The sequence below is a fragment of the Homo sapiens genome, chromosome 8, assembly GCF_000001405.40.
Source record: "Homo sapiens chromosome 8, GRCh38.p14 Primary Assembly".
NCBI classification, from domain to species: Eukaryota; Metazoa; Chordata; class Mammalia; order Primates; family Hominidae; genus Homo; species Homo sapiens.
The window spans coordinates 6,196,287-6,209,601 of NC_000008.11; positions in this window are offsets into that span (position 1 = coordinate 6,196,287).

Genomic DNA, 13,315 nt, shown 5'->3' on the forward strand with positions numbered 1-13,315 from the left:
AGGCAACCTACAGAATGGGAGAAAATTTTTGCAACCTACTCATCTGACAAAGGGCTAATATCCAGAATCTACAATGAACTCAAATTTACAAAAAAAAACAAACAAACAACCCCATCCAAAAGTGGGCGAAGGATACGAACAGACACTTCTCAAAAGAAGACATTTATGCAGCCAAAAAACACATGAAAAAATGCTCACCATCACTGGCCATCAGAGAAATGCAAATCAAAACCACATTGAGATACCATCTCACACCATTTAGAATAGCGATCATTAAAAAGTCAGGAAACAACAGGTGCTGGAGAGGATGTGGAGAAATAGGAACACTTTTACACTGTTGGTGGGACTGTAAACTAGTTCAACCATTGTGGAAGTCAGTGTGGCGATTCCTCAGGGATCTAGAACTAGAAATACCATTTGACCCAGCCATCCCATTACTGGGTATATACCCAAAGGATTATAAATCATGCTGCTATAAAGACACATGCACACGTATGTTTACTGCGGCACTATGCAGCCATAAAAAAGGAAGAGTTCATGTCCTTTGTAGGGACATGGATGAAGTTGGAAACCATCATTCTCAGCAAACTATCACAAGGACAAAAAAACCAAACACTGCATGTTTTCACTCATAGGTGGGAACTGAACAATGAAAACACATGGACACAGGAATGGGAACATGACACACCAGGGACTATTGTGGGGTGGGGGGAGGCAGGAGGGATAGCATTAGGAGATATACCTAATGTTAAATGACAAGTTAATGGGTGCAGCCCACCAACATGGCACATGTGTACATATGTAACAAACCTGCACGTTGTGCACATGTACCCTAAAACTTAAAATATAATAAAAATAAAAAAGAATTAAAAAAAAGAAGGAAATACACAAAAATGTCCACCAAAAAAAAAAAAAAAAAGGTTTAAGTAGGGGTAAGGAAGTGGTGACAAGCTAGGTTGGGAAACCATGTGACAGGAGGCTATGATGAATGCACTTCATCTGTTTAGTGTCCACAGAAACTCTTGCGGAAAAAGGAGAGGAAATGCAGTTTGATTCCAAATGTAGGGGTCTCTCACCTCGAGAGCTCTTGAGTCTGGCTTTCACTACTGATGGTTTTGAGCAGGGGAACCCCAAAATGAAAGATAAGTTTGGTAAGTTATGGAGACTGGATGGAATCTCCAATTCCCAGAGTCCAGCACGTGGCCCAGCAGAGTGCTGTGAGGTTCTCCTGGGGTCATGAAGCTGACCCCAAAATTAAGCTGCATTGTCTTGTGTTATGTGTACGTGGTGACTCATTGCACAGACGTTTGCATTCATCTTGGGATGCGACAACTCTGTGTCTGTCGCTGCTGGGACAGGACAGCCTATGCTACTCTTGTCCTGGTGTAACTGTCAACAAGGCCCCTTTCACTCTCACAATTGTCCAGTTTGGGTGACATATTATATGGTCACCTAAGATATGGGATTTTGAACAGTGATCTACAAAGCTATTTTTCAATGTTATTAAACTATGATATTTATAAACTAAAGGTAGCACATTTGAGGAGAGGACTGAAGATCCTAACTCAGTATTTTAGTGAGAGCTCTTGCTGCCCCTAAAATGTCAAGCAACAAAGTAAAGCCTCCATTGCACAGGCATCCACAGAGAGCCAGCATTTTGGAAAACACTTGATCATATTTTTAGTTATCAACAACCTTTTGAGCTGTCTGTGATGTTCAATGGCTGCCATCTCTTGTATTTCAAATATAAATCATTATTCACTTAGCTTCTGATGAAAAACTATGCCTGTTGGATGGTCTGTAGGATTGCTTGTTTACCCCTCAGTGTTATAATGCCTGTTTGTTAGCTCATTAATGCTTTGGGCCAAGACTTTAAGAACTGCCTGAACTGCAGTTGAAATAGGAGCCACTCCCACTCCCATAGTTAAAGCAAATCTACACTTAACCCTGCTTCACTGAATGCAGTCGTACCATGAAACTTCATTGCTATCACTGAATTCTTTTCCACTGGCAACTGTGGAAGGGAAGAGTACCTTTATTATGGTGCTTTGCCCTGACTAAGCAGTTAGAAAAAATATAAGGGTCCTTGGGCCAGATAGAGGACACAGAGGTAGTGAGACCACCATTTGGGGTGCTTCTGTGAAAGTTAAGAGGTGAGGCTCCCGGTACAGGGCAGTGGCAGGAGACGGAGGGCACATATGAGGAGTGCAGTTCCAGGGCCCCAGAAAGATATTTTACACATCTGGCCACTTGTAGTCTGGAATTTTAGACGGAGTCCAAGTCCGAATCTACAGTTCTTTGGGACGTATCTGTGATCTTTACAAAGTAATATACTCTAAACTATTGAGACTCACATCCAAAATGGGCAGTTTTCATGATTTGTCTCTACAGAACAGGTAAGAACGTTATCAAAACAAAGAAGTGGCATTGCTCTTTCATCAACAAACTTCCTTGAAGATTTAAATCCAAGGAAGAGGATGTAAACTTTTTTCCTTTTTTTTTTTTTGAGACAGAGTCTTGCTCTGCCACTAGGCTGGAATGCAGTGGCGCAATCTCGGCTCACTGCAACCTCCACCTCCTGGGTTCAAGTGAGTCTCCTGCCTCAGCCTCCCGAGTAGCTGGGACTACAGGCATGCACCACCACACCCAGCTAATTTTTGTATTTTTAGCAGAGACGGAGTTTCACCATGTTGGCCAGGATGGTCTTGATCTGTTGATCTCGTGATCCGCCCACCTCGGCCTCCCAAAGTGCTGGGATTACAGGCGTGAGCCACCCCGCCTGGCCAGAAGATGTAAACTTTTAAATCCAAGGTAAAAAAAATGATGTGATGGGTCCCTATTTTACAACATGTAATCAAATGCTTAGATTGGTTCCCTGCCTGAAAGTCTCTTTGCATATATCAAGTTACGTTTTATCATTTGTGCCCAACAATTTCTTCCAAAAAAAATCCCTTGTTCTTTAATGAGGAAAAAGAACATCTTTGCTGTTTAGAAAAGGGCGTAAGGCCGGGCGTGGTGGCTCACGCCTGTAATCCCAGCACTTTAGGAGGCTGAGGCGGGCAGATCACCTGAGGTAAGGAGTTCGAGACCAGCCTGGCCAAAATAGTGAAACCGTCTCTACTAAAAATACAAAAATTAGCCGGGCATGGTGGAAGGCACCTATAATCCCAGCTACTCAGGAGGCTGAGGCAGGAGAATTGCCTAAATCCAGGAGGCAGAGGTTGCAGTGAGCTGAAATTGGACCATTGCACTCCAGCCTGGGTATCAGAGCAAGACTCCATCTCAAAAAAAAAAAAAAAAGAAAGAAAGAAAAGGGCATACAATATTGATGAACTCTTGAAGCTGCTTCTGCAAGTAATCAGTTTGTGTATTTCCCAATTTCAGGTCAACTAGTACTCGTTTAACAAGTTTCTAAAACATTCTTAGACCAAAATTTTCAGAGGAACTTTGCAGATTGCAAACAAACCCATCAAAATAACCCAGTTGGCCTTAGCTGCCACTGACCAAACAAAATGTGACGTTTACAGAGTCCTGAAATTCTCATGCTGTAGAAGCCACCAACGAGCTCTGAAATTTGACAGGAAACAAATGCTAGAGTCATAAAGCAAGTGATATAATCATTCAAGACAAATGAGGGAGTCTTTTTTTCTTTTTTTTAATGAGAGGGGGTCTCACTGTGTCACCCAGACTGGAATACAGTGGCACAATCACGGCTCACTGCAGCCCCAACCTCCCAGGCTCAAGTGAGCCTCCCACCTCAGCCTCCCCAAGTAGCTGGGACTATAGGCATACACCACCACACTCAGCTAATTTTCAATTTTTTTTTTTTTTTTTTTGTAGAGACTGGGTTTTTCCATAATGCCCAGGCTGGAAGCAAGTCATTTCAACTTTTTAAATACTTAATACCAGGAAAAAGAAATAGCTTCTTCCATGCTGTTTTCTGGTGATTAAATCAACATTATTTTGTATGTATGTCCAAACACACACACACACACACTGTCTGTTTCATCTCCCTAGCTTACTCAAAGTGATAAAACAGGCTCCAGCCAGAAACATCACTGATGGAAACTGTGACTTTTATTTTAACTAATGCGTCTATTAAAATGAGGCAGGGTTCGGTCGTTGAAGTCAGACGTGGCATTCAAATCACACCCATGGACACATAATTGTCTGTAGAAGAGAGTACAAGTGAATCGAATCTTACAGCAGCAGAGAAGTTCTCCATGTCGTCGCCATGATTTCATCAGCTTCTCTTTAGTCTCTCCTGCACGTTTCCTTCAGTCTGAGCAATTCATGCTGAACCTCCTGATCTTCCAACCAAGATTTGGGCTGCAAATTCCTCCCCAGCAGAACTGGAGAACTGGAGAAGCTGAGCTCAGTGCCATCAGCCCACCACTGGGACTCTGTGACAAATGGAGTGCAGAGGTGACAAATGGAGTGCAGAGGCCGGAGGAAGCTGAAGACCCCTGGCAGAGCCCTGGGGGTGCCATCACACATCCTCCCGGGGCACAGCGACAGGAATCCAGAGAGGCGGCCCAGTTCAAGTCTCACAGAAAACCCAGAGTCTGATTAATATTAGAACATGGCTCTCGGCAAGGCCCTCATCATCCACAGCACCACAGCCACTGAAATATTCAGGAAGGCTAACAAGCAGGTGCCCTGGGGAGTTAATAGCAGAGACGGAAAGCCTCTCGCCAGCTCCATAGCCAACACAGAGCCAGGTGGGATTGTCAGTAATTAAAAGCCTTACTCAGTAGAAGCCTTTATAAAATGAATTGTCGAATTCCATCAGCATTAAAGAATAGGCATTGAACTTTCAAAATTACATAAGAATTTTTTAAAGCCAGAATTAAAAACGCTTGACTACATTTTGCTTTTTGTTTGTTTAGTCATTCACACATATCTATCTGATGCCTACCGTGTGCCTAAGCCCTGCATATACGGAAAACTAATAGGCCAGGAGAAGGTTCCCTTGGTTGCCACAGCCAGGCCTGGATCACTCTCGATAACTAGCCCACAATAACTGCTGGGACTTCGAGGAAAAACTCATTTTGAATAGTGCCGCCTTCCCGAAGGCCTGCTGGAAGCACGAGTGGTGAGAGGATGCCCAGAAGTTGCTCCTGGAGGAATGAGGGTGGCCTGTCCTGGGTCTCTGTCCCTGGGTCTGAGGACATAGCACTATCGCCTAAGGATGAAGGTGATCCGAGATTTGGCAACAACGATTGTGAGCACCTCCATGGCAGGAAGCAGGATATGGGCTTCCTACACTCGTCCCAAGGCAGTGAAGAAAGGCATGGGCCAGGATGCAGCTCTCAGTACATTTTCTGTCACAGGGATGTGAATCCAGCCCAGCAAAGTTCAACCCAGTTGTCAACTGAAAAGATGGGGAAGACCTTGGATTCCCAAGACTCCGTGAGGGCAGAGCTCATGGCTTAACCTCTCTTTCCCCCCACCGGCTGAGGCAAAAGGCAAGCGCATGAGATCATTATTGATACATGCAGGAAAGTATGTATTTCATCAGGTAACATTTATTTTAACTAATAAGCACTAAGAACTTCAGCATTTATTAAGTAGAACACAGCAAACTTCAGCATGTCCTGATCTGTGTGAACTATGGATGGAGAAGGTAAGAAAGTGGGGTTCCGTTTTTCCCTTTCAAGTCCTTATGCCCTCATGAAGACTGAATTTTCACTCCACCAAAATTAAGGAAGCAAAGTGGCTTCCCGGAGTTCAAAGGGACAGCTCAGCCCCATCTTCGCGTCATGCAGAATGCATGAGCTGATTCTACTCTCAGCCTCTAAAACAGTAGGGAGATGATAACCTGCAACACAGCTAATTTAGAGGTCACCCTGATCCGGTGGGTAAGAACGCATTTCTTCTTACTCAAAATTTAGTCCCATTATTTAGCCCTCGTACACAACTCAGACAGCATTCCCGACGAATACCTACATCTCGTGCTCCTTTTCACAAGGTGCTGACATACCTAATAGTGCTTTTTTCCCCTCCTGGGCTCTGGGGGTGCCATGAAGGCTGGAGATAGACAGCAAATGAAGGAATAACAATTTTTTTAAATCTAGAACTTCCACTGCTTTTATTTCTGCATGAACGTGGAAAAGCCTCCTACTAGGAGAAACAACGTCGTGTAGATTCTGTAATACTTGCCAATAGGTAGGCCTCCCATCTGTAGACAGCTGTGGCTAAGCCACAGCTTATGGTAATTCGACAAAATTACCATTACTCACAAAAGTAAACAATTTTCTTGAAACAACAAGGCAGACAGGGTTGTAAGCAGAGGGCTTCATGGTAAATTTCTCTAGTAACTAAGCTAAGTTGGTCTTTTTGGAAACAAGAGTTGCATCTTGGCTCAAGCACATGTTTACTGAGTACCGAAATATTTTCAGGTATGGTGATAGGGGCTGTAGATTCAGAGCAGTGTGCTATAAAAGTTGTATCTTCCAGTGGTAGACACAGATGCTAAACCAGTAACATTGGTGAATGTCAGTGAAGAGATTTTTGTAGGATCCCAGACAGCGTAGATGATTCATACCCAACCTACAGCCTGAGGTTCAGGGATTTTTCCCAAAAAGCCATGCCCTAAAGAGGTCTGGAGGTGTTAAAACAATAATAGTGAGGCTGCTCATTAGCCATTAGCTGGTGTGTGTCTTCCCTGTGAGTTCCTTCATGGAACCATTCATGTGCAGATACAACCCTACTGCCTGACACACAGAGATTGTTTGCTATATATTAATATCTGTTGACTGAATTCATGGAAGCAGAAATCATGGGATCTATTCTCGACCAATTAACTTTTTTGTCAATTTTCCTTTTTGAATTAAATATTGTATCCAGTAAAGTAATGTGTCTTCAAAGGAGTCTGTTTCTCTCTTTTACAACATACTGTCAGCTTCTTGAGGGCAGCTGTGTGTCTTATTTATCTGTGTATCTCCAGCAGGTAGACCAGAACCTTGACATTACAGATGCCCAGTAGCACCTATTATGTTAAACTGTGTTAAAATGAACTAAAAGCGGGCAGTCTCTCTAAAGATGCTTCATTTTAACTACTTAAATAGAATATTTTGTTGAAATAATAAAAGCTAAGGATTATATATATATGTGTGTGTAATGTATAATATATAACAGTAAATAATGCATCATATATACAACAGTATTACATGTATTATATATGAAATGTAAAGCCCAATATAAGCTAACACATGTTGTGTAATTTTGTATTTATTATATAAATTCACCATGAGATCCCATTACAGAAGGAGCCTTCCTCGGCATAATGGGAGTGATAGATCACTCGACTTGTAAGAAAGCAAAGGGATAGAAGTATGGCAAAGGCAGGGGAAGAGCTCCGTGAAGATCCCAAAACACCACACATGAGGACAGCAGCCTGTCTTCTGCTCTTTTTTGCTTACTCTGTGGAACATGACTGAGGCTTCCTCTGCAGAAGGCAGCGTGCAAGTCCAGATAAATTTGCCTATGAACCTACTGTGACCTTTCCAGGTTCCCCGTAGGAAGAAACCCTGGATCTCAACAGGAGGAAAACGCTCTCCTTTGGAATTTCAAGAATTCACCACTAAAACGAATGTCCTCTTCTACTCTGATTGTACCACCGAGAAAGGACAGTGAATGTGGCTACGGTCATAATCGACACATACGTTTTCTGAAATAATGTGAGATTTTTGCCCAAGTTATTCAAGTGGTACAGGGGACTTCACATCTGACCCGGCAGCCCCTCCAATGAAGTAAGTACTTTCTTCTCAGGGGTAGGATCAAGCGCGCCATGTGTAAAATGAATTGAGGTCTTTGCAGAAAGGTGCTGTGCAAATAACTGGTATTACCGTGTTCCCATCTTGATATAGAGCTCATTTCAATCATGGTATTAGGAACAAAAGTAATGTGTTCAGTTATTGTGAGCTTCAGTTGGCTTTTTCAGGAGCTTCAAATTCAATTACATTCTGAGATGAACATGAAATCCATTGAACAGCTGGATGAATGGTGATCTTATTTACCCAATTCTCTTTAAATTCCAGACTTTCATAAGACAATCAAATGCCTCTTGTGTGCTTTCACATTCTAGTGAATTTTGCAAGGAGAAAACAGAATTATTTTAAGCATGCTCCCGAAAAGGATTTCATACTTATGTACGTACATACAAATATATGTGTGTGAATGTATCATATTAACAAAAGCTAAATTATTTGTTCATTCAACAATGCAACAATCATTGTATACAATCACGTATACTCTAACTGACTTATAGCAAGTGTATTTTAGGGGTTCAATGTCTCAGATTATATAGCTATTACCTTCCAGAGATGGACTTGCCTTAAACTGGCTAGCACTTTCTTACTTTCTTTTTTATTTAAACTTTACTAAAACAGCTGGGTGCAGTGGCTCATGCCTATAATCCCAGCACTTTGGGAGGCTGAGGTGGGAGGAGTGCTTGAGTGTGAGACCAGCCTGGGCAACATGACAAGACCCTGTTTCTACAGAAAATTAAAACATTAGCTGGGCGTGACGACATGCATCTGTGGTCCCAGCTACTCATGAGGCTGAGGCAGAATGATCCCTTAAGCCCAGGAGTTCAAGGCTGCAGTGAGCTATGATTACGCTACTGCACTCTAGCCTGGGCAACAGAGCTAGATCCTGTCTCAAAATAAATGAATAAATAAATAAACTTTAATACCAAAACAAATATTTTCTCATCATTACAAGACTTTATTTCACAAATTACGTTCCGAATATTCTATCCTAGTCTTTAATCTATAGGCAAATATTTGTGCATACATGCCCATAAAATTAGAGTTATGTTAGACTGAATAGTAATAGGTTATTTGCCATGGCAGAACCCAAATGTAAGGCTCCCATGGGCTGTAGAAGTATGAAGGTGGAGAGTTTATAACATCCTGGAAAGAATGTGTGGTTTGTGGGGTGAGGGTGTAAGACAAGGGCTTAACAGAATACAGTCTTGGAATTGAAATTGAAAACATCAAGAAAACAGCAAGGAATGAAGCAAAAAAAAAAAAAAGTGAGATAATGTTGTCTAAGAAAATAAGATGATGGGCCGGGCGCGGTGGCTCACGCCTGTAATCCCAGCACTTTGGGAGGCCGAGGCGGGTGGATCACGAGGTCAGGAGTTCGAGACCATCCTGGCTAACACGGTGAAACCCCGTCTCTACTAAAAATACAAAAAATTAGCCGGGCGAGGTGGCGGGCGCCTGTAGTCCCAGCTACTCGGGAGGCTGAGGCAGGAGAATGGCGTGAACCCCAGGGGGCGGAGCCTGCAGTGAGCCGAGATTGCGCCACTGCACTCCAGCCTGGGCGACAGCGAGACTCCGTCTCAAAAAAAAAAAAAAAAAAAAAAAAATAAGACGATGAACAAGGATCTGTTATATTCTGTTCCTTTACTGGTTAATAGTATGGAGGGTGCAGAGTTTCATACTCCTTAAGAGTATGAAGAGTTTCCAAACATAGGAACTGATTATTAAGTGTATGACTGGTTTTAACCTAACACACTAGGTTGTAATGATCACTAGGAAGCAACATGGTTTCACGAAAAAAGGTGAAACCAGAATCATGTGTCTGCTATTCATGATAGAAAAGATGGAGCATTTCATCAGCACAGCAGAGCTGGGTTTCAGCAGTGTGTGGCCGAGTCTCCCTTGACATCACCATAAGATAGAAAGTACTGAACCAAATGGAAGAGGAACTGGGGGAGTCCCAGGGGGCTGAGTAGTCATGACTCCCCCGAAAATGTCAGCAAGAGGAGTGAAACCCTGAAGGGCAGTTTCAAGTGGCATGCCACCTGAGTAAGCTCTCCTTCCCATCCTATGCAAATTTAATCATCAATTTTCATAAGGCCAGAACAGGCTTGCATCTTATTGTGGAGACACAAGTCAGGAGGAGCAGCACATGCAATGGTTGGCTCGTTCAGTCCTCACAAGTCCCCTGGCAAGTGGCAGAGATGAGGCAAAATGAAGAAAAAAAGAGTCAATGGAGATAAATGACAGCCTAACAACCAAGATGTTACTATGTCTCATCTGACTTAGCAATCCGGGATCTCGGAATAGACAATTTAAGGATAGCTTATTATTTATAGTAATAGCGACTGCACTGCTGTCGGAAAGAAAATGGCATCAGAATGCATAATGGCAATAGCTCCCTACTCCAAAATTTAAAACCCACATCATTTCAGGTGACGTGAACAGAAATACGGGAGCCAGAACAGGGACTGCTGATGGTAGCCAGGTGTTTCTGGCCAGCCGAGATCCTGAGTGCATTGTTTCCAGTCCTGGCGTCATAATTTAAGTGGGGCTTTGACCAAGTTGAGGCAGTCAAGAAGCATGAGGGCCACAGTCAAGAGGGCACAGAGCCATGCCTGTGACAAGCGGTGGACACGCTGCAGAGATGCACACCACCAACACACACAAATGATGTTGAAAAACGGAAGATCACGTATGCCTCACAGACACAGGTTGCAAAGAAGTGGATTTGGGTTTGGGAGGCCAAGGTAGGCAGATCGCTCAAGCTCAGGAGTTCGAGACCAGCCTGAGCAACATGGCAAAACCCCGTCTCTATTAAAAAAAAAAAAAAAAACAAACAAAAAAAAAAACACTTAGCTGGGTGTGGTGGCCTGCACCTGTAGTCCCACATTCTAGGGAGACTGGGGTGGGAGAATCACCTGAGCCTGGGAGGCGGAGATTGCAGTGAGCTGAGATCGTGCCACTGCACTCCAGCCTGGCAATAGAGCAAGACCCTGTTTCAAAATAAGTAAATAAATAAAAATAAAGGCTGCGCATGGTGGCTCATGCCTGTAATCCCAGCACTTGGGGAGGCCAAAGTGGGCAGATCACCTGAGGTCAGGTGTTCGAGACCAGCCTGAACAACATGGAGAAACCCTGTGTCTACTAAAAATACAAAATTAGCCAGGCGTGTTGGCGCATGCCTGTAATCCCAGGTACTCGGGAGGCTGAGGCAGGAGAATCACTTGAACCCAGGAGGCAGAGGTTGTGGTGAGCTGAGATAGCACCATTGCACTCCAGTCTGGGCAACAAGAGGGAAACTCCATCTCAAAAAAAAAAGAAAAGAAAATAGAAAAAAAAAAGTGGATTTGGGGTTTATAATAAGGAAGAAATTTCTATTGATTAGAACATTTCAAAAGTGGAATGATCTGACGCATGAAGTAAACTACATGGGCCTGGAAAGGAAAGCACTTCCTCTGTTTCTCCATCTGGCTGGGCCTTCCTCATGTCTAGGGAGAATTACTAACCTGCCCTCACCACTGTAATTTAAGATTCTTTCTTCTTCCCTATGCTCTATGAATGCTCGCTGTATATTCTTATTAGATCACTTTGCAGTACATTTTCATCACGGGCTTTCCTGGTTGCCTCCCCAAACAAACTGTAGAGAGCAGGAAAAAAACTGTCATTCTTCTCATGTCCTGAGCACCTAATGCATTATTTGCACATCATGAAACTGAGTAAATGCAGTTGAATAGGTACAAGAGGCCCACGTTTCAGCTTAGAAAAGTACAAATGACTGCAGATAATCTAACAATTGGCTGAAAGTGAGAAGAAAAGGCAAGAAAAGAAATTAAAAATTAACGTGAAGTGAGAAAATGGAAATCATGGAGGAGGCTGCCATTGGAGACAGCAGAGATGTTGCTGTGACCTGACCTGATGTTGAGATCTTGGGTTAGAGCACCAAGGTATTCCGTTACTCACGATGGTATATTGAGCACTTGCTACATGCTGGGCACTCTGTGACAACCCTGGGCCCTGGGCTTTGTCATGATTGCCATCTCACAATTGAGTAATCAGTCTTAGAGAGTTCAAGGCACTTGCTGGCATTATAGGCTGGTAAGTTATTCCAGGATAGGAATTTCATTCTGTCTCATCCCAAAGCACTTTGTTCCAAAGAACTAAAAACAGCCTGCCAAAATGCAGACACTAGGAAAATAAAGTGGAAAAGTCACGGTAAAAGAAAAATCAAATTATGAAAAATAAAGCCAGGAGTGATATTGTATATGCCATAGTTCCTATTAAGGTAGCAAGTTCTGGAGTCAAAGAAAGCCCTATGTTTTGGTTTCTGGGTCATTTCGTTTTACCCGGAACTCTGCAACTTAACCTCAGTTCATTTCCTAGCTCATGACTTTCTGACTTTTGTGCTTGCTAACCACAGTGAGAAAGACGTTTTGCATTACAACAAGCACACTCATATTTTATCCTTTTTTTTTCTTTTTTTTTTTTTGAGATGGAGTCTCACTGTTGTTGCCCAGGCTAGAATTCAGTGGCACAGTCTCAACTCATTGCAACCTCCACCTCTTGGGTTCAAGCAATTCTCCTGCCTCAGCCTTCTGAGTAGCTGGGACTACAGGCGTCCCCTACCAAGCCCAGCTAATTTTTGTACTTTTTTAGTAGAGACAGGGTTTCACCATGTTGGCCAGGCTGGTCTCAAACTCCTGACCTCAGATGATCCGCCCACCTCAGCCTCCCAAAGTGCTGGGATTACAGGCATGAGCCACCGCGCCCGGCCATTTTATCCCTTTTTAACACTTGGGCTGTGACTTGCCAATTTAACACATCTCACTATTTATTAATTATATTATCACTGATATATTTCAATGATCCGTATATTATGCAATCGATTTGACAGAGCTTGCTTTGATTCCCAAGTAAAGGATAGCACCTTTATTCATACAGCAATATATAGTTCATAAGACACAGTCAGTTCTGCTATAACATGATACATGTGTTCTGAAAAACCACCTCATTATACAAAATTGCACAACAAAACCATGAGGCTTATGGAGAAAATCAGGTTAGCAGAATAACACTCAAAAGCTTTACCAGTGACATATAAATTTTTTAAAAGAGAGAAAATAAAAATGGTAGCACAATTTTGCATGTTTTACGTGGTTAAAAATACATAAATAGTCCAATGAATGTGACAATTTATCTGGAAGCTTGCTTGTGGAAGTTTGCCTGTGGAAGGATCACAGTAGGTGAGTTTTTGTGAAGGGGCAGAGGAGAGTCATCTGAAATGGGGCAGAAACTTGTAACACCACGTGCAGATGTCTGGGCTCCTAACATGCAGGTTGAACAGAGGTTGCTGGTTGAAGTTTGAGGTACACGTGTTTTGTGTATTCCTGTATATACTCTGTGGTTAAGCTGGATGTAGGTTTCTGCGTTCACTTAGTATTTCTTGAGATGAAATCATACATAAGCAAACTTAAAATTAGCATTATGTGTAAATTTCTCCCTACTATATCAATTGCATTAGAATAGATTTGCATTTCAATATG